Below are 25,931 nucleotides of genomic sequence, written 5' to 3'. Positions count from 1 at the left end.
TTTTTTTTTTTGAGACTGGTTCTCACTCTGTCACCCAGGCTGGAATGCAGAGGTGCAATCTTGGCTCACTACAACCTCCGCCTCCTGGTTTAAGCAATTCTTATGCCTCAGCCTCTCAAGTGGCTGGGATTACAAGCCTGTGCCACCATGCCTGGCTAATTTTTTTGTATTTTTAGTAGAAACTGGGTTTCACCATGTTGGCCAGGCTGGTCTTGAACGCCTGGCCTCAAGTGATCTGCCCGCCTCAGCTTCCCAAAGTGCTGGGATTACAGGCATGAGCCACCGTGCCCAGCCTCAGGTATTCTTTATAGCAGTGTGAGAATCGACTAATGCAGAAGCACACACACACACAGATCAGAGAAAGATTAGTCACATGTGCCTCCTTATGTCCTAGACCATGTCACAGTGTTCTCTTGCGTTACAGTGCCTCTGCAGGTACTGCTCCTTCTGCCTCCCCTTACCCCAACACATACACACAATTGGCCTTCTAACCTTGGCTAAACCTGGCTAAACCTGGCTAACTCAGGGAAATATCTGACCACATTCCAGACTAAGTGAGGCATCTCTGTTATATTAACACGCCCCTCACAGCATGTATTACTGTCTCATAATATTACAGATTTGAAACTTTACATTTATTCCGTATCTTTTTTTACTTAAACAGGTTATTTGATTATCTCTCCCACATCATACGTAGATTCTGTGAGGTCAGGGACTAAGTCTGACTCCTTCACCGCTGTATCCTCAGCACCTAGCACAGTACATGACATACAGAAGGTGCTTGTCAAAGTCAAAATAAAATATGGAGATGAATCTCTAAATGTAATGTTTTATTTGGGGAAGCGAGAATCGCAACTCGGAGCATACACACAGATCTGGTGGTCTTTGGTATGTCCGAAAAACAAAGAGAAGGCTGGGCGTTTTATTAGAAAGGGAAATGCATTGGCACTAGTAAAGTTTCAGGGAGCTGGCAAGCTCTGATTGGTGACTGACAGTGGTAAGTAAAACTAGTATTAGGTTATGGCGGGTTGTTTCAGCAGTTACTAGCTGAATCTGGTCTCAGGGGGACAGCAGGCCATTTCCGCAGCAGTTAGTGGAAATATTGGTTCTTGGAGCAGGCGCTGCGTGCCTCCAGTGCTTTTCCCCTGGCCCCTGGATTCTGATTCCGTTGGGCATAAGAAGAGTGACCCAATTCGTATTATCAACTTTCACATGCTCAATAAGAATGTATGCATGTAAGCTATGGGTGAGTGAATGAATTTGGACAACTCCTCCTCCAGTGAAGAAAAGCAGAACTTACAACCTTGAGCCACTTATAAAATACTAACATACTACCACCACCTGTGCGCTGTCTTCTCAGAACCATGCTCTTCCCAGGATGAGTAACTGTGTGCTTCTAAGTGGAAACCTGATGACAGTCACCCAGTCAGTGACTGGCGGACCCCCTATTATTACTCCCATTCTTTGGGCAGGGAGATGCTTAACCGGCTGGAAGCACAGAGGAAGGGCAGGAGAACGAAGCAAGTCACCCGGCAAACACAGCTGTATCCGGAGGCCTCCGGGCTTCCGGAGGTCTCGGGGCTTCTGGGCTTCCGGTCCCTCTTCCGGAGGCCTGGGTTTCCGGGACGTCGCGCGCCGTGTGGGGCGCGCACGCAGGGCTGGGCGTGAGGGGGCGTGCGCGTGCGCAGGCGACGCGCCGAGGTACTAGGCAGAGCCGTGGAACCGCCGCCAGGTCGCTGTTGGTCCACGCCGCCCGTCGCGCCGCCCGCCCGCTCAGCGTCCGCCGCCGCCATGGGAGTGCAGGTGGAAACCATCTCCCCAGGAGACGGTGAGTAGTGGCGCGCGGCGGCTCGGAGTACCTCTGCCGCCGCGCGCATCGGCTCAGCATGCCCGTCTCTGTCTCCTCAGGGCGCACCTTCCCCAAGCGCGGCCAGACCTGCGTGGTGCACTACACCGGTGAGTCGGGGGCCCAGCGGGGAGGGGGCCCGGGCCGCAGTCCGCAGCCCGGGTGCGGCTGGCCGTCGAGGCCTGGGGGCCCGGGGCCTGGGGTCCGGGGCGTGGCGGCGGCGAGGTCCGCATGGCCCGAGGCTGAGGCCTGGGCGGTGGCTCAGGGGCAGCCTGGGGCTTGCGGAACCCGGGCGGGTCTGAATCGGCGGCTGTGAGCGTCGGCTGCGGGCTAGGTGTTATCTGACCCGTCAGAAGCATTTCTGCACCTTAGATGCTGCCCTTATGCCCGCTGCACAGATGAGGAAACTGAGGCTTGGCGAGGCGAAGTCACTTTCCCAAGGTCTCACTTTCCCAAGGTCACACTTTCAGGAATGGGCAGAGCTCTGGCCAGGGACCATTAGGAAGGATTTGTACCATTTCTGTGCCCCTGCCCCCACTTCCATCCCTCCCTTCACTGGAGATGAGGACGAGGTAATTCCGAGTCTGCAGAGCTGCTGCTTCCTCCGGGGAACTCGGAATTCGCCCCTTTGCCTAGGGTGGGGAAACATCCCACTTCCTAAGTCATTGCTTTGGCCCTTCCTGGCCTTGGGGGAAGTAGAGCTGCACGGCCTTCTTCCGTCTTTTTACTTTTGAGCCACTTACAAATCCAAGGCTCAGTGACAGCGCTGGCTCAGGCTGACCGAAAGCTGCACGTGTAATTTAGTCCCCCAGCTCTTCTAGAAGTAGAGACTTTTCTCGTCCTCATTTTAAAGATAAGCATCTGGAGGCTAATACATAGTGATAATACAAGCCAAAGGAAATTTTAGACACCTCCCCCTCCCCAGCCAGAATTCAGACATCAGAGTCGTGTGCCTTGGGGCTGTCTTACTCCTTCTCCTTACAAGCTTGTCCTGGTTTGTATGGGGGCGGGGGAGGGGGAGAGCTGAGTTGGCGGAGACTCAGTGGCTGTGGGTCCCACAAGGGTGGCAGTGATTGGTGTAGCCACAGTTGTTGATACGAATAACCTTCCCTCCCCCTCCTCCTTCCCCTTTCTCAACCTTCCCACCCTTTCCTCTGTTCCCCCTCCTCCTCCCTCTTTTTTTCCCACTCCCTCTCCTCCTCTTCCTCCTCCTGGGTAGTAGGCTGTGGGCAGTTCTGGCCAAGTTGCTCACGAATAAGCTCCACCTTTCTCTTCCAAATCATGGAAACATGGAGGGATCCCTCTATTGAGGGAAATGACTTTCACTGGAAAGAGGAAAAGGCAACTAACATCCCCCCTCCCATGCCCTTTTATTTCTGTGGCCCTTCCCCGTGGGTAGAAATGGGGGCAGGAGGTAGAAGTTAAGGACTAGAACTTTAAAAATTCTGCCAAAGGAGGAGTTACTGAAACCCATCTTTCTGGGGAGCAGGCAGTCTCATGTCCGTGAAGGAAGCTGGAAAGTGCTTTTGATGTTTTAGATAGCTGTCCTTGTAGGCCACAGTCAGCACCTGAGCCTGGGAGGTCTGGTAGATGAAAGCGCATCCTTTTGGTGATTTGTCATCGGAAGGATGAGGAGAGTAACCATTTACAGTGCTGGGGTGAGTGGGCAGTTCATTCAGTTCCGCAGCCAACTGGGGCAAAGATTGGGACTCAAGCCGTGAGGAGCTGCCTTCTGCCGCACCCCCTCCCCACCCTAGCTTGTACATAGCCACACTAGGGTGCTTGGCAGCATGTGTCCCACTCCCACGTCTGCCCCTCATGCTCGCCCATGTTCTGGTGCTGCCAACAGGACTGGACCCCAGCATGTAGGCAGTGCCGCACTTCACCATGTCTCTTTGTGAAATATCCCCACACAGCATGTCTGGAGCCTTTTCCTATGAGAACAGATGGTCATGAGACCCAGAACACCATCAGGGTTTCCAGTGCCTCTTGAAGTGTGTGTTTTTCTCGCGGGTGGCACGCACCCACATGTTTCCAGAGCAGCAGCAGGACCCTGGCATGCATTAGGACAAAAGCTTTCTTTTTGATTTCGTTTTGATAAGCCCTATAAAGACGCCTTAGTGAGAAGCCAGCTCTGCCTCATGCTCACAGAATAGACTGTTTTCGAGCAGGCTGGTGGCTTTGTTCCCGTGGGTCTTTGTCACCAGCCTCCCAGGAATAACCTGTTTGAGACCTGTGGGGGCGTGAGAGGAGTGGGTAGGCACTGGGAGATCTCATCTGTAGCAGTTAAGGCTTTTAAGTCACTGGGAACAGAATCCATCTTGGGGGAACATGATCAGAAGGTGGAGGTTATAAAGGTTCCAGGGGTTTTCAAAGGCAGAAGCCCACTGGGTCCTAAGAAGGGAAAAGAAATAATCATGATGCCTCTAGTTCTCATCTCTGTTTTTTGGTTGTTGTTTTGTGTTTTGTTTTGTTTCCTGCCTGACTGCCTCAGTAGTCTCCTGTTAGAGATTTGTGTTTGTCTGCTTCTCCCAACTGGTGGGTGGTGGAAGTCCCCTGCATGCTCCCCCGTCCCCCCTCCCCCCTCCCCCCTCCCCATGGCCAGCTTCTCTGTCTTCTTTTGAGTATCTGGCTCAGATTTCTTGGCTGTGATTCTGATTGTTACTTCTCTGAGAAGGAGAGTTTGAGTAAGGTGAACACTCTTGATCCAGTCAGCTCTTGCCAGGTGTCCACTCAGCTGATTTGGGCACGGGTCCAGAGAAAGAGGGGTGGAAGTAAGGTGGCCAAAATCTCCCCTTAGCCATCACAGGTGTGCAGAGCACAGACTGACCTTTACCACATGGATGCTTTAAATGCCACTAATGGCTGTCAGTCACCTTGATGTCACTCTCAAGGGTCCCTCTGGTGACTTCCGTGACCTTCTGGCAGAGCACAGCATGAGCAAGGCCTCAAAGGAATGCCTGCACTACCTCTGTGGTACCAGAGGGAAAATACAAAGTTCACTATCACCAGCTAAGCATCTCCTAGGAGCATGACAGGCATTGAGGTGGGAGGGAGGTGGTGGAAAGGTAAGCTGCCAAGTAAGTGCCTTTAGGAGCCAGGGAATTCTCATGGCGCCTCCCTGCTGCCTCCAGTAGCTTCGTCATCTTTACTGTTAGCTTGTCCTGGCACACAGCTAGGTTTAGACCTCTTTTACTTACTTCAGCAGGCCGTGTGCCTGCCATTGTGAGAGCAGCCCCAAGGGGATTGAAGGAATGTTTTCTTTTTTCTTCTTAAAAAGTAACTAACTGGACATTTTGTCCTTGGGATCAGGTTTAAGTCAGGTATAGCCTCCCGGTTTCTGACTGAGAAAAACCAGGAGCCCCTCAACCTCATGTCCTCAGGAGGTTGACTGGGAAGGCTGCTGAGGCTCCCGGGACAGGTGTGGCCACTTTGCTGCAGCCTCCCTCAAGCCCCTTGCTTTTCCTTAGCTTTGTTCCCCCCTCTCCTCTGCTTTATTCCATCCACTCCCTTGCTAGGTATCTCTTGGTTGGTGATCTGATGTCTGGAGGGAGGCTCACCCTCAGCAGAGATGCCTCAGATGGCTTCCCCTGACGTGTGCTGTCTTGAGGCACACAGGCTGTAACTGTTGGGCAGGGCTGCAACAAGTCCCTTTGCCTTCCCACAGCAGATGTTTTTTGAGCAACAGCAGCAAGCCAGGCTCTAGGGACATGGCTAGTGAACTAAATAGACAAAGACCTGATCTGGTGGGGCTTTGCTTATGATGAGGAGACTGATAGTATGGCCATGGAGCACATCAGGTAGTAAGAAGCGCTGGAGAGATTAAAGCAGAGTGAGGGATGGGAAGGGAAGTTGGCTGCTTTTCGTGAGGGTGATTGGAAAAGGCCTCTGAAAAAAATGGCATTTTAACATTCACTCAAAGGACATTGGAGAGGGAGCTACAGGGCTGTCTAGAGTATCCAGGCAGAGGGAAGAGCTAGTGCAGGACCCTGAGGCTGGAGCCTGCTCGGTGCATTAGAGGAACAGTAAGAAGACCGGTGCGTTAGAGGAACAGGAAGTGGATTGTGTGAAAGGGTATGTGGCAGGAGATGAGGGGATGGTGGAGCCTCGTTGGTTTTTATAAAAACGTTGCCTTTTTCTAACTCAGGTGAGAGCCACTGGCTGGCTTGGCTTTTAATGCCCGCCCCCGCCCCCCCAACCCACGCTCCTTCTGGCTACTGTGTGGACAATGGGCTTTTGGGGGCAAAGGCAGAAACAGGACACTGGTTGTATCCCAGGTGTGTGGAGTGCCAGCTCAGGCAGTGGGCAGAAGTGGTGCCAGGTGGACAGTGATCCCCAAAGAGCATGTGGGTTCTTCGCTGTGTTCTGATCTTGACCCTGCCATACAACGGGCTATGAGAGCTTGAACAAATTGTCCCACAGTTCCCAGCTTCCACATGCTGTCTATAAAATGGGAGTAACGATGCCTGCTGTGAAGCAAATGCCTATCGAGACTACCCAGTTGTCTCCAAAGTGTTGCTCTTTTTTAAAACCACAGTTCCATTGAGCCTCACTCATCGCAGTTGTTATGTCTGTAATCTCAGTCTAGAAGAGTCCTTACGCTGTTTTTTTCTTAATAACTCTGATTTCTTCAAAGAGAGCAGGCTAGTTATAGAATACTCCACATCTGTCTTACTGTTTTCTCATGGTATTGTTTAACTTGTTCCCTGCCTTGATTTTCTGAACCGGATGTTTAATCTTTTAAGTGTCTGAATAGATTCCGTTTAAACATTTTAGTGTGAGTACTTCATCCTCAGCACACATGGGAAACATCACTAGTTGTGATGCTAAATTTGATCTTTTCTGTAAAGGTACATTTTTCCCTTTGCATTTAGCAGTGATCTGTGGAGTGCTTAGGTAGCCATAGATGGTCTCTTGCTCATCAGCCTTTCACCTAGTGGTGTTTACACCATCTGATCATTCTCCCCTGAAGAAGTCACTGGCATTCACAAAGTGTTGATTTTTAAAATTCCTTCATTCTTTCTAAATTTATTAGCTGTTATCCTTCTATAAGATAAGGTAAAGTAATTCTTTACCTTTAAATACCAAATTTTATTTTTATTTTTTGAGACAGTGTCTCTGTCACTCAGGCTGGAGTGCAGTGGCTTGATCATGGCTCACTGTAGCCTCGACCTCCCAGACTCCCATCCCGGCCTCCCATCCGGCCTTCTGAATAGTTGGGCATACAGGTGCATGCCACCTGTCCTAATTTTTGTATTTTTTGTAGAGACGGGTTTCGCCAGGTTTCCCAGGCTAGTCTCAAACTCCTGGCCTCAAGTGATCCACCCTCCTTAGCCTCCCAAAGTGCTGGTAGTACAGGCATGAGCCACCGTGCCCAGCCTTTAATTACCAATTTTTAAAATGAAAAATGAATGTTAACTGATGGGGTATTGCCATTCCCAGTGGGGGCAAGTGACTTTTTCCCCCTCTATTTGCTTTGACTGTACTGTGGGCTGAAATTTTTTGTCAGGGCCTTAAGATCAATGATACCCATTATTCTTTTTGATGCTAATATCATCCTAAATTTGGCCAGTAGGAGCCCTTTAAGCTGGCTCCAGTACCTTTTTGACAGGCTCCCACCATTCCTTCATCCATTTCTCGGTTTCACTACTCTGGTCCAATTATCAGCCATCTTTCAAAGAGCTCTGGTTCCTTTCAGTGGGGTCCATGACCTTTTTTTTTCTTGGTAACAGCTTTATTGAATATAATTTACATACCATAAATTCACCTATTTACTCATAGATGTTTTAACTAGAACATTTTTAGGCTTAAACTGATTTTTATGAATTACTGAGGGGTTTATTGTATCCATAAACTGGAAATCATTTGTCTGCCTTGGAATTTTCTCTAAAAATATTGTCACCTGCTGTTTCCCATGGAAGAAGCCAAGGTTATGAATAACTTAATCACATAGCATTCAGTTCTCCCTTTGGTGCTCATGGTGACATTTGTTTATTTTTACTTCTATTTTTTCTTCTGTTTTTTTGTTTTCTTTTCCTGCTAAAAAGCTTAACCAAGTCTCTGCATTCCCTCCCCTGGACCCCTTTGATTTTGACCAGGTGTATTCTAGCAGTGCAGAAAGTCGGGGAGGTAGAAATAACCAGTTCTTAGATGCTACTGTCTCTTTCTGTTACATTTGCTCTTCCTCTCCCAGGAGCTCAAGCCACCTTGGCCTGCATTCATTCCTCGAATGCTCCAAGCCTTTTCCCACATGGAGGTCTCTGCCCCTTTGCTTAGGTGCCACCACACTGCCCCCACTCCCCACTGCATGACAGGCTCTTTTCTTTATAGCACAGCTTAAGTAACACTTTGGATGCATACATGCATGCTTCTAATTCTGCAACAATGCACCCATCTATTTTCTTAGCCCCCATCATAGTCAGGATCCGTGTAGTTAAACATCTGCTCTTTCCCCAACCGACTGAAGGCTCCAGGAGGCCAGACCCACACTAGTGTTGTTCTCCAAGGTCTCCCCATCAGTCTTGGCATAGAGTAGCTATTCAGTGACTGTTTGAATGAGTGGCCAGTTAGGACCTGGCATTCCCTCGGTCACTCAGTGAATATATAAGGAGCTGGGCAAAGCCTCAATGTTGCCCTCAAGAAGCTTACCCTGTAGGGAGTGGTCAGTTACAATGAAAGTACCTCAGGCAACCTACACCTATAGGCTAGAACTTCTTGGAGGAAGTGCCATTTGGTCTTGGGTGTGTATGGTGCAGTCAGGCAGGAGGAAAGCGTCTTCCAGGTATATACACAGGCCAGGAGGAGAAAAGGGTACCTTTGATATTTCTGTAAGTACTTGATGAATGTCTGCTATGTACAAGACACTGTCCTGGCTACCAAGAATTTAGGAGTGAAGAAGACACAGTTCCTGCCTTCATCTCACACTGTAGTGGAAAAGACATAATAAATATGATTAATAAGCAAGACTGTTGTGTATAAGCTAGTAAGTGTTAAGGAGGGAATAGGAAAAGGTTGAGGTTTTAGATAGATTGGCAAAGGCCTCAATGAGAAAGTGACATTTGAGCAAAGACTTGAAGGAGGTAAGGATGTAACCTATGTGACTGTTTGAGCAAGATCATTTTAGGCAGAGAGAACAGCAAATGCAAAGGCCCACGGGTGGAGGTATCCCTGGTGTGTATGTAGAACATAAGGAAACAATGTTCTGGGACTGGAAAAGTACAAGAGTAATCAGAGGTGAAGTCAGAGGGATGGTGGTAGGGGCGGAGGCTTGACACTTCTTAGAGGGTCTTGTAGGCCATTTTAAGAGTTTTATCTCCTGAGATGGGGGAGTCACAGGAGTTTTTCAGCCGAGGGGTAGTAGGGTCTGGCTGCTGTGTCAGGTTTAGACTGTAGGAGAGCAAGAGCAGAAGCAGGGAGACCAGGGAGGGAGTTGTAATAATAGTCTGTAACAGAGGTCCAGAACTCATGCCTTTAACCATTATACCCTATAGAAAATGCATATTTCTACCACTTCCAGCTAGCTATTGTTAAGTGGTATTTCTTTTGATTTTTTTGGAGATGGAGTCTCACTCTGTCGCCCAGGCTGGAGTGCCCTGGTGCAATCTCGGCTCACTGCAACCTCTGCCTCCCGGGTTCAAGCAGTTCTCCTGCCTCAGCCTCCCAAGTAGCTGGGACTACAGGCGCACGCCACCATGCCCGGCTGATTTTTTGTATTTTAGTAGATACAGGGTTTCACCATGTTGCCCAGGCTGGTCTCAAACTCCGAAGCTCAGGCAGTCCACCTGCCTCAGCCTCCCAAAGTGCTAGGATTACAGGCGTGAGCCACTGCACCCGGCCTAGTGGTATTTCTTTCTCCCCCTCCCCATGCGATATAATGTGGTAGTAACTCCTCTTATTTATACTGTGATTAAAGTGGAAAATGGAGAGACACACCCACAGGGCATGCATTCTGGTCTGTGTTCTTTTTATTGCCGTTGGATCCTGCATATTCTTCCCATCATGGGCCCTGCCTTTGAAAATACACTTTTGGTTATAGGATCTAAAGGGATTTAGCCAAAGGTTAGAAGCATTTCCATACTGCGTATGGGAAATGTGCTTGCACTGTTGGTGATCTCAGGAAAATGATAGTGAGAGTGAGCTGGTTCCCTCTTTGGGTTGGCACTTGGACCTTTGGTCATACCCCTCACTCATAAGGAGTTCTCAGAACCCCACTTCAGGGAGGTTGTGCTGGAATACAGCCACAGAGACCCAGAAATGGAATAATAAGAATGTAAGATTTGAATTTGTATCTTTTGCCTATCTAAATGTAGAATCCCTTTTTACCCATCATGATTGAGACAAGTGGGTAGTTGGTATGCTAACATAAAAGTGACATGGCTTCTGTAAACATTTGATTTCAAACTCTAACATAAATCATTTGCTAAAGGACTATGTCTTTATCTTTGAGGATGGCTCTGCTAGTGGAGTTTCCCATCATAGTTCTTGCAAAAACCAATTTGACCTTTTTTAAAGTAGAGCAAAGAGTATTGTGAGAACATTTAAAAACCAAACCTTTCCAGATTTTTAAGATTTCTTTCTCTAAATGTAGTCTCCCATATGATTATTCACTAGCAATAGTTTTTTAGTGACTTGCCTTTATTGAGTCTTTCCCAGGAGTCAGCTAGAACCGCTGTTTGTATTCACACTCATTTTATTGATTTACATACTATTTAATTACATTATATTTACACAGTAAATATAGCTACCATAAATGGATTTGGGGACAAACACAGCTAACCACTCCTCCCTTTGTGAACACAGAACTCATATGGGAATGAAGAAGTGATCATGAGCTAGAGACTAAAGCATGAGGGGAGTGCTCTTCACTATGCTGGGGTACGAAGGCTGTGAGTTTTATGAGTCTCCAAGTAAGGCAGCTGAGTAAAAGGTGGTTAAGAGAACTTCTGTGTCTAATAAGAAGAGGGAAAGCAAACAGCTAAACCATTAGACCTTGAGCCATACGCCCATCTGGGAATGTTCTGAGTGGCTTCAAATGCAAAGCTGCAGAAAAATACTGGCTCCCCCTACCTCCACCCATTCAACCATTACACCTTTTTTTTTTTTTTTAAGAGACAGAGTCTCGTTCTGTTGCCCAGTCTGGAGTGTACTTGTGCGGTCATAGCTCACTGCAACCTCAAACCTCTGGGCTCAAGTGATCTCCCACTTGATCCACTCAAGTAGCTAGGACCATGTCTGGCTAAATTTTTTTTTTTTTTTTTTTAATTTTTTGCAGAAACAGGATTGGGGACATGAGTCTTGCTGTGTTGCCCAGGCTGGTTGCAAACTCATGCCAGTCTCAAACTCCTGGCCTCAAGTGATTCTCCTGCCTTGGCCTTCCAAAGCACTGGGATTACAGGCATGAGCCTCCTCCGCAGCTGGCCTCATTGTACTTTTTGTCATTAAGAAACTCACCTGCGTGTTGAAAGTAGAAATCCTTTTCCCTCTCCAAACTGTAAATGGCAAGGACTTTATTTTATTTTGAAGGTTTGGGGCTTAGGATATTCTGGTTTTTTGTTATGTTTGATTTTTGGTTTAGTTTAGTCATTTTTTTTTTTTTAATCTTAAAACTTCCCATATTTTGTCCCTGTAAAATGCTGCCTATAGGAAACACTCCTGCAAAGATTCATGAGCAACTATAAACTGCATTGTGAGTCATGAGCTTTCACTACAAGTAGTGAAGCCATAAGTCTGTAGAGGTGCCTTCTTCAGTCCTGTTACCCAGTAGAAGGTATATGGCACTCTGCCCTTCCCCAAAGCAGAGTGCCTTGGAAGTGACTCCATTTCTATTGGGTTATTAGTGAAATAGTATCCCAGTGGTCCTTGTGAATCTCCAGGTCCTGGTCTTGAGTCTTAACCACCGCTTCAGTGGCTTGAGCCAACCACCAGGAACACAGTCTGGGGATACTTTGCTGCCCAGGAGCTGCTGGCCAGGTCTCCCTCTGCTGATTCCTTGAAAAGCAACAGGAAAGAGCAGGCTGCTGTGGAGTAGACAGACTTGAGACTCTCTGCACCGTCTTGTTTTGTAAACCCTTTTGCTCCCTTTCCAAGGATTTCAGTTCAGGAGGAGACCCAGGCGAAGATGACGTCAACAGCCTCTGCATGCAGTCAGTCATAGCTTTGGCTTCTTTCATGGTCTTGTGCTTTTAACTGGAGCACATTTTCACATTTTTCTTACTGATTAGTAACTAAAGGTGCTTAAAGTAAAGTTTACCATTCTGGGATTACCCCTCATATTCTTGTTACCATATAGGGAAGAAGGTCTAAATATGAAGGCCTCATGCTTGTCCTTCTGGTTCTTAAAAATCATGCAAGTAAAGCAAATCCAAGAGTGCTCTTGAGTACCAGCACCATACGTGCCACCAGGACACAGAACGCAGGCCAGGTCTGTGAGCTTGGGCTGCATTCAGTCAGGAGAGCCAAGACTAAATACTTAAAATAAGAATATGGAGCTATTCCAGGCAGTTTGTTAGGCATGAGTTATAGGCTTGTACGGCCAGGAATGAAATTGGTCAGTTCTGCAATTAGAAGGCAATGCTTGTGATGTTTTATGCTGAGTGGCCTTTAGAGCTTAAAGACTGTCAGCTGTCTTGTCTGCACTGTAACCTCAGTTGCCTTCTCTGAGCAGGGCACGCTTTCTTTAGGAAATTATGGCACTAACTTGGCAGGTGGTTTCACTGTTCAAGGGCTCCAGCTCCTGGCACAAGTGATCTCCAGAGTTAAAATTGGAGCAGCTGCTGAGACTTGACTTGCTGCCTGCTTTACCTGTTCCCTCCCCAAAGAGAGGAAGCACTTTTCATTCATTGCCAGTGTGTATGTGGGAGCTAAACATATATAGCATTTTAGTAAATGCCACTGCCTACTCTTTTTCTTTTCCTTTTTTAAAAAAGTTACTGAGGCGTGATTGAAATCCAATATACTGCACATTTTAAAAATGTACAGCTTCATAAATTTTGATGTGTCATTGTTTCCCTTTGAATTCACCCCTCCTTACCCTCCTCTAACAACTACTGATATGCTTTTTTGTCAGTGTAGATTTGTTGCATTTTCTAAAGTTTTATATAAATGGAATCATACAGTACGTTCTCTTATGTCTGCCTTCTTTCACTTGGTATAATTATTTTGAGATTCATCTGTATTGTCCCATGTATCAATTGTTTGTTCCTTTTTGTTGCTAAATATTTTTCTATATATAGAAACATGTATTTACCAACTTACCCGTTGGTGGATGTTTGGGTTAGTTTATAGTTTTTGACTATCGCTAATAAATCTGCTTTGAACATTTGTGTACAAGTTTTTCTGTGGACATAGCCTGTCATTTCTCTTGGATAAATACTCAAGATCAGAATGGCTGGGTCATATGGGAGGTGTATGTTTAACTTAACTATCAAGCTGTTTTCTGAAGCTTTATGTTATATTCCCACTAGCAGTGTATGAGAATACCAGTTCCTTCACATCCTCACTAACACCTGACGTGGTCAGTCTTTTTAGCTTTACTCATTCTAATCAGTGGTGGTAGATGCGTTTCCTAGTGGTTTTAATTTGCGTTGTTATAATAACTAGGAATGTTTAGCATCTTTTCATATGCTTACCTGCCCTCTGTCTTTTTCAATGAAGTATCTGTTCAAATCTTTAGCCCTTTTTTATTGGTTTTCTTAATTGTTGAATTTTGGTTTGTTATATTCTGGATATAAGTCCTCTATCAGATATGTACTTTGCAAAAGTTTTCTCCCAGTGTATGGTTTGTCTTTCATTTTCTTAACAGTGCTTTTTAAAGTACTGAATTTATTTTGATGAAGTTCAATTTATTCTTTTATAGATAGTGCTTTTTGACATCATACTAAGAAATCTTCACCCAACTCGAGGTCACAAAGATTTCTTTCCTATGTTTTCTTCTATAAATTTGATAGGTTTAGTACTTAACATTTAGGTCTAGGATCCATTTTGAGTTAATGCTTGATAATGGTGTGAAGTTTTTACTGTGTTATGTGTGGATATTTTGTCATTTCAGCCCAATGTAATTTTCATCTCAGACATTGTAGTTTTCATCTCTGAAAGTTGGAGTCTTATGGTTCTCCTCTACTAATTCTAACATTTGTGTTAGTTCTGGGTTGCTTTCAATTGATTGATAAGTCTCCTCATTGTGGGTCCTGTTTTCTGCCTCTTTGCATGCCTGGTAATCTTTGGATGCCAGACATTGTGAATTTTGCCTTTTGGGGTGCTGGATATTTTTATTCCTATAAATTTTCCTGAGTTTTATACTGAGAAGCATTTAAGTTACCCGGAAACAGTTTGATGCTTGCGAGTCTTGCTTTTGTGATTTGTTAGGTAGGTCTAGAGCTCAGTTTAGGGCTGATTATTTCCTACTATAGGCAAGATCTTCCTGAGTATTCTGCCCAGTGCTTTGTCAATCATGAGCTTCTCCAGTTTGACCGGGGGGTAGTAAGCACTAATCCTAGCCCTGTGTGAGCACTGGATACTGTTCCTCTAAGCCTTTTGGATAGTTCTTTTCCTGGCCTTGAATAGTTTGCTCAGATACATGCACTGAGAGGGACTCTGCTGAATACTCAAAGAGGACCCTGCAGATCTCTGGGGATCTCTGTATAGCTCTCTCCTGCTGGTACTGTGTCCTATGGACTCTAGGTGCCTTGAGCTCCACTCCAGGTCCCTCTCCCTGGAAACTCCCAAGGATATAGGGCTGCCCTTGTTTCCCATGTCTCAGGATTTATTGTTCTTCATTACAGATGTCTGGTGTCCTACAAACCATCGTTGTAGCTATTTTGTCTAGGTGGTTTTTAGGTTTTAGTGGACTTTTTGTAGGGAGGAAGGGGTTGGTTGGTTGGTTGTTGGTTGTTTCATGAACAAATCTGATCCTTGTCCTCCACCGTGACCAGAAATGGAAGTTCTCACTATCTGTTTTGACATTACAGACTGAACAGCATAATTCCTACACATGCACACTCATTCCAGCTTAACAAACACTGCTTCCACCTTCTCCCCCAGGCTGACAACTTAGGGCCATAGATAAGTGGCCTGTTCCTCCCCACTGGGGAAGCCCTCCTTCTCCTTGTCCTGTAGCTTGTGCCAGTTGTGTGACACCCACTTAATCACATACCACCCCACCCATTTCGGGGGATTATTGTTTAGCTTTCGGACTCGATTATGGGAAATCCTCTCCTTGGACTCAAGGAACCCCAACATCACTGCCACCACCCAACCCTGCCCTGCGAAGATTTCTCCTTAGAAAGTAGATGAGATTGACAGTTGGTGACTGTGGTCTGAAATTCTGGAGCAAGTCTCATGCCCCTTTCCCAGGGACAACAGAGCATCCAAAATAGCATAGGAAAATTAAGATCCTAGGCAAAGGTCCTGTTTAAAGCTCCTTTACTTAGAAATCCTGCTTCCTGGCTTTTATGGTTTTAAGATACTAGGGAGAGGTTTGCCCCTCAGTGTCCAAGATAGGCTCAGGAGAGCTGGGGTTAGACAGGCATCCTCACATAGAGCCACTGAAGAACATACACATCTCCATGCTGGCTCAGCAGCAGCAGCAGCAGCAGATTCAGGCTGTGTCCTGCCTAGTGCTCCTAGCCTGGTACCAGTCAGATAGATAGTTGAAGTATCTCACCTCAGGCAAAGCAACATTGATACATTGATGCATGTAGTGTCTGGAGGTTGCTTGGCATTGCATTTGATCAGGAATAAAAAGGAAGTTTAGGGAGTCTGTCTCAGTACCCTGTGGCTTTCACTGCAATCAAAATACGATCTTGCACAGGTCAGAGCCGTGTTCAAGTTTGGCAAGAAATAAGGCTAATTTTTTATAGGTATACCGTACTTTCCAAATTGTGGGTTATGAACCATTAATGCATCATGAAATAAATGTAGTGGGTCACAATCAGCATTCTTTTTAAAAATGAGAAGTATATGCCATGTAGTAACTTACATGTAAATTTTGTTTATACACAGACAAAATGTGGGTGTGTACTGGGTCCTGACATGAGACACTGTTCCCATTGTCGCGGATCAGGGATAGTTCTTTGTGGTTTTAGTTGTTGAGTTCTGTTTCTTTGTTATTCCTTTCGTGGCAGCACTACATTGTAGCGTGCTCACTAAGTGTCAGAGGTTTACCTCACGCCAGTTGTGTTCATTTGGCTGCAGGTAACTGAAGACCCAACCTAAGGCAAAGCAGACTTCTTTATTTTTGTAAGACTTCATTAAGAGCAGTTTCAGATTCTCAGCAAAATTGAGAGGCATGTACAGAGATTTCCCATATATCCCCTGGTCCCACACATGCATAGCCTCCTGTTATCAACACCCCCCACTAGAATGGTACGTGTGTTGCAATTGACGAACCTGCATTGACACATCATGATCACCCAAAGTCCATAGTTTACATTAGGGTTCACTCTTGGTGGTGTACATTCTGTGCATTTGGACAAGTGTATAATGGCATGTATCCATTATATATAGTATCATACAGAACATTTTCACTGCCCTAAAAATTCTCTGTGCTCCATCTGTTCTTCCCTCCCTCTACCCCTGACTCCTGGCAATCACTGATCTGTTGACTGTCATCCTAGATTTACCTTCAAAGCACACTTTTAATCACCTCAGAACATGAGTCTTGAGGGAAGTGGTTTGGGGCTGATTCAGAGCACTGGAATGACCACCTTGTGGTACGCCTGGCCTTCTGATAGTCACAGGGTGACTGCCATGCTCCAGACATCTTATCCTCACACAGCATTCAACAGGGAGGGCAGGAACTTTCTTCCCGAGTCTTTGTTTTTCTTTTTACTAATGAGGTGGGACTTTCCTGGAAGATCCCAGTAGACTTCACAGCAGGTAAAGTAGTGCCCAAACTGACCCGTATAGGGGAAGGGCTTGGATTGATTCGAGTTCATCTGCTGGGCCAGGCTGTTGTTGCTGTCGTTGCTCCTGGGAAGTTGTTGTTTAATTAGGAAGGTGAGGGTGCCACACAGCCTTGCTTCCAGGTGGCCCCTCTGGGCATGTTTTTCTTAAAATAACAGACCAGAGAGAAGCTCTTTCTGGTTTTCAGTCTCCTTTGTGGCTCACAGGCCCTGCCACTCCGTGGTTCTGACCTTGGGTGGGTTACTGAGCCTTGGAGTCGGTTTCCTTATTTCTGTTACAAGCAGTCTCACGAGGGTGGATGGAAAGGCTCCCTGCCTGGCCAGGGAATGGAGAATCATAGCTGTTCATTGCCTGCTCTCACCCTTACCTCTGAGGTTGGTTGGGTTGGGTTCCATGTAAGAAGTGCAGCTTGAAGTGGGCTAAAGGCAGTGTGTTTATTGGGTATTGTGGAGCCTGGAGACCTGTTTTTCTCCCAGGTACTCATTTATAGAGAACTGTTCAAGTCCTGCCATTAGTCATTTCTTTCATCAGGTGGTGACTGCATTCTGGTAAACGAATGAGCTAAATGCATACCCCAGCTCACCAGTTCTGGGGCACCAGTTCCTTGGAGCAGGTACCGGTCCCCACCCTCCTGTCTACCTCTTAGTCCTCAGCTCCCAGCTCCAGGCTTCAGGCAGCATTGGTACCCATTCTGCCCCAGGACATCCGTCTCTACTCCTGCTCTATTAAGATACCACCACCCAACCCCCACCCGTTTCTTACTTTGTTAAAGTCCACATAGTCCAGTAGCTGTGATAACACTGCCAATTCATCTCTGCCTCCCCATCCTACTTACAAATGTTGACACTGTTTTTTAGGTTGGGATTTTTGTCAGGATTTTCTTTTTTTCCTAAACTCTTACACAACAGAACTGTAATGTTTTTATGGATCTTCTGAGTAATGAATGCTTAGAACCATGGTGAGTGCCCACCCTCAGTCTTCCAGTAAAATCAGTTTTGTGTCCATTATATGTTAACCACTGGCTGACCCTCCAATCTGGGATCCTAATTAGAGAATTCTCAGGAACTCAGTGTCAGCTATCACAATAGGCTGGCAGTGGCTTCCTGAGAAAGCAATGCCGATGGTGTTTTTGAAAAGGAAGTTGCAGATATCTATTGCAGATGTCTGTTCCTCTTTTCTCATAGCGTCTCTGGAGTTCCCCTTTTATTGGAAGGCGCCGTCGTGGCTTGTCCAGCTTCTGGGAAACTGGAATAATAGAAAGAGCATGGTATTTGGGTTTATAATTTATAACGTAGTTTTACTATTTTACTAAATTATAAATTTACTATTTTTATAATAGTAAATTTTACTATTTACTATTTTCACTTCTCCCTGTCTGCCTCAGTTTCTTCATCTGTGAAATGGGGATAGTGCTGTGGAGAAAGAATTGCATTCGTTCATGTGTGGAAAGCACCTAGCCCATTTAGAGTAACTCAGAGTGGAACCACTGGCCACAGAGTTGCTAGCAGTTGGCTGGGTTTACTGAGTTAATTCTTGAAGGGCCACCACTGCAACCTCCTTAGTATTCCTGTTCTCTTCAGTCATCTCTGTTACAAAGTATTAGCTGTGCAAAAATGAGCATGGGTTGTTTTGTGGGGCAGCATTGGATAAAATAAGTGGGATGAATGCTGCACAAATTCTTTCTTTCATTTCTCTATTTCAGCCTAGGTTGGTTTTTACTTTCCCAGGAAAATTATGACAACTCAGGAACCAGCCTACAAGGGGCCAGCTTTACGCCCCAGGTTCCCTGTTGGTGTGAGACACTTGGCACTAGAATGAGGGTGAAAGCTTGCCTTATAGCTTCCTCTTACCACATCCCATAGTGCTGACCCACAGCCTGGAGAGCAGCAATGTGTGTAGGTCACAATTAGTGAACCACAGAGGAGCCCATGGGGGTGGCAGATGGTGGAGGGGGATTTGCCTGCACTGAACAATGGAGGAGCAATATATACACACATTATATGTGAAAGATGATGGGGGATTTTGGGAAGGAATATTGCTTCTTGCACTGTGTGTGACTTCTAGACATAGTGTGCACCTCGAGGGACCACAGTTATTTTTAGCTGGGGAGAAAATCCACGGGGTGCTGGGAGAGTCAGGGCAGGAGGAAGTTTATACTCCCCATCTCCAGAAGAAGGTGGACTGCCGCTCATCTCTGGTACGCGGGGTCCTTTTGTAGTCGAGTTATTGCTTGGAGTCAGGGAAGAGCATTCACAGGTCTGGAGTAGGACTGTCGCAACTCCTTAGATGTCCAGTGAGGTCACAGGAAACCCTCCCTAGATACTGCAGTTCCTGCCAGACTCTTCAGCACTGGCATCTCTGATGAGTGCTCTGCTGCTGGTTTCTGACTTGTCTTGTGTCATTACTCTGCTGCTCATGTTACAGTCGTCTTTTTCACAGGGATGCTTGAAGATGGAAAGAAATTTGATTCCTCCCGGGACAGAAACAAGCCCTTTAAGTTTATGCTAGGCAAGCAGGAGGTGATCCGAGGCTGGGAAGAAGGGGTTGCCCAGGTATGCTCTCTCATTTGTTTTGTTTTGCTTTCTAGTATTTACCTTTTATATTTTTTTATAGGTGGCATATTTATACGGTTCAAAAATAAAAAAAGTGAAAAGTCTCACCCTCATGCCATCCCATCTGACCAATACCCCCACAAGAAGCTCCTGTTGTTAATGTTTCTTGTACTGTGGTTTAAGCACATATAAAAACATAACTTTTTTCTTGCTTTCACACACATACTGTTTTGCAGTTTACTTTTTCACTTAATGCATTTTTGACACTTGCAATACCACTACATAAAAGAGGAGTAGGCTGGGCGCGGTGGCTCATGCCTGTAATTCCAGCACTTTGGGAGGCCAAGATGGGTGGATCACCTGAGGTCAGGAGTTCCTGTAATCCCAGCACTTTGGGAGGCCAAGATGGATGGATCACCTGAGGTCCGGAGTTCGAGACCAGCCTGGCCAACATGGCGAAACCCCATCTCCATTAAAAATACAAAAATTAGCCGGGCGTGGTGGCAGGTGCCTGTAATCCCAGCTACTTGGGAGGCCGAGGCAGGAGAATCACTTGAACCCAGCAGGCGGAGGTTGTAGTGAGCCAAGATTGTGCCATTGCGCTCCAGCCTGGATGACGAGAGCGAAACTCCATTTCAAAAAAGAAAGAAAAAATGAGGAGTAAGCTCTGTTACAGCTGCCTAGTATTCGTTTATGTAAGTGTGCTATAATTTACTTGGCTAGTGCCCTATTAATGAGTATTTGAGTCATTTCCAGTATTTTGCTATTATAAACAATGCTGCAGTAACTCACCTTGTACAGACTTCATTTTCCACGTGTGCACATGTTGCCATAGGACTTACTCTCAGAAGTGGGATGAGGGGCTCAAAAGCTGTGTGTAGTGTTTTTGAGAGGTCTTGTCAAGTTACCATCTCTAGGGGTTGCACTCTGGACTGCCACCACCAGGCTATAAAGGTGCAATCTCCTCCCAGCCCCAGCATCACAGTATATTGTTAAATCTTTGGCCTCTGGACAATAAGAGTAAAACATGATATCAGTGGTTTTAATTTGTATTTATCTATTACCCATATTGTGTGAGACCACTTCTGAGACGTCATACTTATGGAGAAAGTCATTTCGTTTGTCTTGAGTGTGTTTCCTAATCTCTTTCCTCCCCATTTGTGGAAACAGCTTTTGTTCTGCCAACACTACAAAATTCCCAGGAGACAATAGGGACCCAGGGTTGCCAAATTTTAGTTGGATTCTGTCTTTCCATCAAACCTAGGAATTTTTTCTTGGCTCTAACCAGGTAAAGGGATGTTTTTCAGTGACCTGAGACCCAAGGAACTTTATAATTAGGCTCTGCATGATGGGTAATTAGTCTGCTTCCCTCTCACCCAGGAGAATTAGAAATTTAACCAAGATGAAAAGACAGATTTCTGTCTCTCTCTTTTCCAGAATACACATTGCTCTACTTCCTCTATAAAATATCACTGATTTATCTCCAAATAAACTGCTCAACTTTCAGGAACTTGAAGCCATCCCACTCCCAGGTGTCTGGGTTTCTGTTCCTGCAGGGCAGAGGGTTGGCAGTGTGAGGAAGAGGCTTTGTAGTTTACTTCCCTTGGGAAACCTTGCCAACCATAGCTTTTTGCCTCTGTCTCCCTAGTCTGTCTGGCTCTTGGATCTGTAGCCCATCCCCCATCTTTCATGCCAGCCATTGTTCATACCACAACCCATCTTCTGTGACTGCTCCAGCATTGGAACAATCACTGCGTTGTATGTACTGAGTGCTGTATCTGCCATCGAGATAGTGTTATCGGCCTACTTCACTTCCCAGGCTTGGAGAGGCATGGTCGAGTATTGGACAGATGCCTGACTCCCCCTTTAACTGGTATTTTGGGGTCAGTCACAGCCCTGTCATTTGTGAGAAGTCTGGGTAGTTTGAGATCTACATAAAATATCTTTTAAATTCTTCATAGCATATTTTTTCACCAAGTGAGTTAAAAACACAGGAAGAAGGGGAGATTGACTTGTGACCCTTTTCCTTTCCTTTTGATATTGTTTTGGTTTTACATGTTTGCAGGCGTGGAGTCCTGCCTGCCACAAGGACCATTTTGGCAGCTTTCTTTCATCCATCTTGGACATCTTTTCATGTTAATACATTTAAAGCCACCACTATATGATTTCTCATGACTAATCCCTGGTGTGGATATGCCTATGAAACCACTCCTTCTGTGATGGACTTTTGAGTTGTTAGCAGAATATTCTGGAAATAGAATTGCTGAGTCAAGGAATATGATTGTTTTGAATTGTACAAGGTAAAGCCATACCTCACTATCCTTACCACCTTGGTCCAACATGTCCCAGCTTCTGAGGGGAGCAAGGACTAGACGCTTCACAGCCTGGAGCTTCCTCTTTATTCATCCTCTGTCTGGTGGAGTTGGAAAGTCGGGAACATACACATGGAGACCAAAAGCAGAGATAAGTCAAAGGATGGAAATACTGCAGAGAACCTGCTCACTGTTCAGAAAGTAGATATTTTATACTTATTTGTGTATTTAATTTGAAACTGAAAATATACACAAATATATTTTTTAAAGTAGAAATCTCTCCTTACTGGTCACTCACTATCCATACTGTTCTCCTCACAGCAAATGTCTGGTATGTCCTTCCAAAGATGTTTTCTGTTGTAGGCATATCAATATTTTCACAAATGGTATTCAGTAAATGCTATTTTGTAGCCCAGAAAATCATATTGTCTTTTTTGAAGTTTTCCTATATGGGTAAAAGAGTATAAATAGAAAAAATACAGAAAAAATAGACTACCCTCAAGTATTACTTCCTGTGTATATATTTTTTTAAAGCAAAGTTGAGTATTCCTTTTTCAAGAAGAGCATAGATGGCACTTAACATGTCCTTTAAGTGACAGATCACTGAAGGGGACTAGGTGGTGAGACATCTGGAATGTTACCTGCCTAGCATTAGTCATTAAGACTTGCGTAGAAAGGTTGAGGGCCTGACCGTTCTGAGAGTCAGGAGGGGTTTTGAACTGCCATTGGGCTTCTTGGAGTGAGATGCAGGGGTGATGGAATATGACTGCCAACCTCCAAGTCCTGCACAAGGAGGTGGTGATGCCTGGGCAGCTGCAAAGTCACTGGAAAGTCAATACCATCCTGGCCAAGGAACACCTAGGTAAACAGCTCTTTTTCTTACAGAGACAGTTGGGGCATGTGTCCAGCTGAGTCTGTCTTCCTTGTTCTTTTCACAGATGAGTGTGGGTCAGAGAGCCAAACTGACTATATCTCCAGATTATGCCTATGGTGCCACTGGGCACCCAGGCATCATCCCACCACATGCCACTCTCGTCTTCGATGTGGAGCTTCTAAAACTGGAATGACAGGAATGGCCTCCTCCCTTAGCTCCCTGTTCTTGGGTAAGGAAATGGAATACTGAAGGGCCCTTCACTGCCTTTGCTCCTCCCATGTTATGCCCAGCGTTTGATGGGTAGCAGAGAGAACAAAAAACACCACAAGGCTATTTTTCCCCCTGCATTCTTTCTGTATTGAGTATCCTTTCAGTGTTATTAGTGTATGCTTTGAATGTAAAAATTGGTCACCCTAAGGAAAGGAATTGGCATGTGTATGTTCCCAGTTCAACTCATGGAGATGGCAGCTGTTTAAATGTTTTTCTATGTAGTTTATAAATTAAAACTGAATTGAGGACTATGGAAATGTAGGCCAAATTTGTAGTGCCAACATTTTAGTTCTTTGGAAATAAGACTCTTAATGAATGACTTTGTTCTACCCTGTGTTTCTAGAAGCTAGAGGGGGAAAAAAAAAGCCCTTTGGATATGAATATCATGTCCTAGCTTCTGCGGCTCTCTCTTCACTGTGGTTTGTGGTTACTGCCTATTAGATGGTATGAGGGAGGCATTCCTGCATCGGTCCACCTGCTCAGGGTCCACACCCAGGACACTTGAGGCCCCCAGGCCAGCTTATCAGTGAGTGAAGTGGAAAAATGAAGCCAGAGGATGCTTGTGAAGTTGAAAGGATGCTCTTAGATCAGACAGTTCTAGGAAGGGATCTTAGGGGCCTCTGCATCAGCTTTATTGTGCAACAGTAAGGAAACAGGGCCAGAGAGAAAGGCCTTACTCAAGGTCACATCCAGGCAGTGGCAAAGTAGGACCAGAGCCCCTGTTTGTTGATTTTCCCCTCTTCCACCCTCATTTCTTAGGAACTAAACTCAGTATCCTAGTAGCACGTAACTTTTCATGTAAGTGTTAGAATCATTAAGTACATGAATGCTACTGGCTTCCTTCCAACTGGCCCCAGACCTTTTTATTTGCTCCCCTCCTGCCATAGGAACCAGAGGGTCACAGCCAAGGCCTGGGTGAGGACACTTTTGTTTGAAAGCCACAACAAATGGCTGCCATCCTATTTGTGATGGCAGTCAGAGCTACTTGTAACCTGGTCCTGTTGTGCACATCTGTAAGTGGAGGGGCTTTTTAAACTCTCTGTTTGAACCACACACACCTTGGTAATACAGGCCTGGTTAAGTTTGATAACTGGTTTCTTCACCTGTCATTGCTACTGGGAGGGAATCCCTGGCACTTTACAGGGCCTTTGTCTGCCCAGAGGTCTGCACCTAGGCCAAAATCCCTTTCCTGTTCTTTGAGAGCTGAGTCATTTTTTGAACATAACTGTACTCGAGGGAGCCTTGGAATTATTTTCCTGGTTGGGAACAGGCTTTCTGTAAACTTGATGAGGTAGAGGGAGGGGAGAGAGGGATAAAGGCTACAAGTCACCCCGAGTAACCCTCCCAACCCACTGCCAAAGAATGTCTCAGCTTCTTGCAAGAGTCTGGAAGGAAAATCCAAGGGCAAACCCAGAAAGTTTTAAGTTGAGTGAATGAATGAATACTGGAGATATTTTCCCAGTATACTCAACATTATGAATGACCAGTTTATTCTCAGTCTGGACTGCACATGAGAGTCACCTGGGAAATTTTTAAGACTTTCCTGATGCCCAGGTCAAACCCTAAACCAGTTAATCATAATCATGGGAGTGGAACCCAGGCATTAAGAGTTTTTTAAAGCCCCCAGGTGATGCCTATATGTAGCACAGTTTGAGACCCAATGATAGTGGGGAACTGTATTGTCAGCAGCATGGGTGGCTAGCCCTCCTGCTGTCCTCAGCAAGGCAAACTTAACCTTAGATTAAACAAAACACACAGATCAATTTAAGGAGAAAGTTTGTTTCACCTGGGACCCAGCCCAAGTCTTTCTGGCTGTCTCCAGCTGGAACAGAAGTGGCTTGGTCTCAGACTGCTCAGCTGTTGGGGAAGGGATTTGGCGTGGCAGATGGCATCGTGGCTGTCGCCACTGCACACAAAGAACACTGAGTTGCTGGAAACTCACAGATTTTCTGTCCCCAACAGATCTGCCATGGAGGGATCTGGTGCCTCCAGACATGTGCACATGAATCCATATGGAGCTTTTCCTGATGTTCCACTCCACTTTGTATAGACATCTGCCCTGACTGAATGTGTTCTGTCACTCAGCTTTGCTTCCGACACCTCTGTTTCCTCTTCCCCTTTCTCCTCGTATGTGTGTTTACCTAAACTATATGCCATAAACCTCAAGTTATTCATTTTATTTTGTTTTCATTTTGGGGTGAAGATTCAGTTTCAGTCTTTTGGATATAGGTTTCCAATTAAGTACATGGTCAAGTATTAACAGCACAAGTGGTAGGTTAACATTAGAATAGGAATTGGTGTTGGGGGGGGGGTTTGCAAGAATATTTTATTTTAATTTTTTGGATGAAATTTTTATCTATTATATATTAAACATTCTTGCTGCTGCGCTGCAAAGCCATAGCAGATTTGAGGCGCTGTTGAGGACTGAATTACTCTCCAAGTTGAGAGATGTCTTTGGGTTAAATTAAAAGCCCTACCTAAAACTGAGGTGGGGATGGGGAGAGCCTTTGCCTCCACCATTCCCACCCACCCTCCCCTTAAACCCTCTGCCTTTGAAAGTAGATCATGTTCACTGCAATGCTGGACACTACAGGTATCTGTCCCTGGGCCAGCAGGGACCTCTGAAGCCTTCTTTGTGGCCTTTTTTTTTTTTCATCCTGTGGTTTTTCTAATGGACTTTCAGGAATTTTGTAATCTCATAACTTTCCAAGCTCCACCACTTCCTAAATCTTAAGAACTTTAATTGACAGTTTCAATTGAAGGTGCTGTTTGTAGACTTAACACCCAGTGAAAGCCCAGCCATCATGACAAATCCTTGAATGTTCTCTTAAGAAAATGATGCTGGTCATCGCAGCTTCAGCATCTCCTGTTTTTTGATGCTTGGCTCCCTCTGCTGATCTCAGTTTCCTGGCTTTTCCTCCCTCAGCCCCTTCTCACCCCTTTGCTGTCCTGTGTAGTGATTTGGTGAGAAATCGTTGCTGCACCCTTCCCCCAGCACCATTTATGAGTCTCAAGTTTTATTATTGCAATAAAAGTGCTTTATGCCGGCTTTTCTCAGCTCTGTGTCATGGTGGTTATTTTCAGGTGCCTCCCCTGCCATTTGGTGCAGGGGGATGGGGTTGGGCAGGGTGAAGGAGGGTGGCAGTGGGGATGCAGTTTCAAGATTGTGTCTTGGC

The 25,931-nt window shown here is 45.6% G+C and overlaps 1 protein-coding gene, 2 long non-coding RNA genes and 1 other non-coding gene across 8 annotated transcripts in view, besides 6 other annotated features; 3 read left to right on the top strand and 1 right to left on the bottom strand.

Annotated features, from left to right (window-relative positions):
- Window positions 1,618-25,931, top strand: part of FKBP1A-SDCBP2 (FKBP1A-SDCBP2 readthrough (NMD candidate)) — an 83,264-nt gene continuing 58,950 nt past the window's right edge. The window contains exons 1-2 of the long non-coding RNA NR_037661.1: window positions 1,618-1,828; window positions 1,909-1,956. This is a non-coding gene — a long non-coding RNA (FKBP1A-SDCBP2 readthrough (NMD candidate)). The remainder of the gene's footprint in view (window positions 1,829-1,908; window positions 1,957-25,931) is intronic.
- Window positions 1,680-1,729: a silencer, noted in NCBI's record as "silent region_12592". NCBI's record gives its function as "represses an Ori minimal core promoter by ATAC-STARR-seq in GM12878 lymphoblastoid cells {active_cell/tissue: GM12878}" and the evidence as "EXISTENCE:reporter gene assay evidence [ECO:0000049][PMID:35858748]".
- On the top strand, window positions 1,736-25,812 carry FKBP1A (FKBP prolyl isomerase 1A). 3 transcript variants are annotated; one of them, NM_000801.5, is made up of 5 exons: window positions 1,736-1,828; window positions 1,909-1,956; window positions 19,187-19,299; window positions 22,550-22,714; window positions 24,718-25,812. In NM_000801.5, the coding sequence occupies exons 1-4, from the start codon at window positions 1,792-1,794 to the stop codon at window positions 22,676-22,678; spliced, it is 327 nt and encodes a 108-aa protein (NP_000792.1). In that variant the 5' UTR covers window positions 1,736-1,791; the 3' UTR covers window positions 22,679-22,714; window positions 24,718-25,812. The 3 variants fall into 3 exon arrangements, with proteins under 3 accessions (NP_000792.1, NP_001186715.1, NP_463460.1); NM_001199786.2 differs by lacking the exon at window positions 19,187-19,299; NM_054014.4 differs by lacking the exon at window positions 24,718-25,812 and having other exon boundaries at window positions 22,550-23,074.
- On the top strand, window positions 1,829-1,890 carry MIR6869 (microRNA 6869). Its single transcript, NR_106929.1, has one exon. It is a non-coding gene; the product is annotated as a microRNA 6869 (primary transcript).
- Window positions 1,844-2,344: an enhancer, noted in NCBI's record as "H3K27ac hESC enhancer chr20:1373090-1373590 (GRCh37/hg19 assembly coordinates)". NCBI's record gives its function as "activates a minimal SCP1, AML or CMV promoter by ChIP-STARR-seq in naive H9 embryonic stem cells {active_cell/tissue: H9 hESC(naive)}" and the evidence as "EXISTENCE:reporter gene assay evidence [ECO:0000049][PMID:30033119]".
- Window positions 1,930-2,029: a silencer, noted in NCBI's record as "silent region_12591". NCBI's record gives its function as "represses an Ori minimal core promoter by ATAC-STARR-seq in GM12878 lymphoblastoid cells {active_cell/tissue: GM12878}" and the evidence as "EXISTENCE:reporter gene assay evidence [ECO:0000049][PMID:35858748]".
- Window positions 2,040-2,109: a silencer, noted in NCBI's record as "silent region_12590". NCBI's record gives its function as "represses an Ori minimal core promoter by ATAC-STARR-seq in GM12878 lymphoblastoid cells {active_cell/tissue: GM12878}" and the evidence as "EXISTENCE:reporter gene assay evidence [ECO:0000049][PMID:35858748]".
- Window positions 3,136-3,649: an enhancer, noted in NCBI's record as "H3K4me1 hESC enhancer chr20:1371785-1372298 (GRCh37/hg19 assembly coordinates)". NCBI's record gives its function as "activates a minimal SCP1, AML or CMV promoter by ChIP-STARR-seq in naive H9 embryonic stem cells {active_cell/tissue: H9 hESC(naive)}" and the evidence as "EXISTENCE:reporter gene assay evidence [ECO:0000049][PMID:30033119]".
- The window catches only part of SDCBP2-AS1 (SDCBP2 antisense RNA 1), a 53,393-nt gene continuing 43,516 nt past the window's right edge, over window positions 16,055-25,931 (bottom strand). For 2 of the 3 annotated variants that reach the window (NR_040047.1, NR_040049.1), the window contains exons 2-3: window positions 21,612-21,712; window positions 16,055-17,992 (exon numbers count right to left, since the gene is read on the bottom strand). This is a non-coding gene — a long non-coding RNA (SDCBP2 antisense RNA 1). Of the gene's footprint in view, window positions 17,993-20,091; window positions 20,307-21,611; window positions 21,713-25,931 lie in introns of all 3 variants that reach the window. The other variant, NR_040048.1, reaches the window with a different exon arrangement.
- Window positions 16,202-17,401: an enhancer, noted in NCBI's record as "MED14-independent group 3 enhancer chr20:1358033-1359232 (GRCh37/hg19 assembly coordinates)". NCBI's record gives its function as "activates an origin of replication core promoter dependent on BRD2, BRD4, P300/CBP and CDK7 cofactors, and independent of MED14, by STARR-seq in HCT116 cells {active_cell/tissue: HCT116}" and the evidence as "EXISTENCE:reporter gene assay evidence [ECO:0000049][PMID:35650434]".

Source organism: Homo sapiens, chromosome 20 (genome assembly GCF_000001405.40).
Source record: "Homo sapiens chromosome 20, GRCh38.p14 Primary Assembly".
NCBI classification, from domain to species: domain Eukaryota; kingdom Metazoa; phylum Chordata; class Mammalia; order Primates; family Hominidae; genus Homo; species Homo sapiens.
Note: the sequence above shows the minus strand (reverse complement) of the source record. Positions and strands in the feature narration are given on the sequence as shown.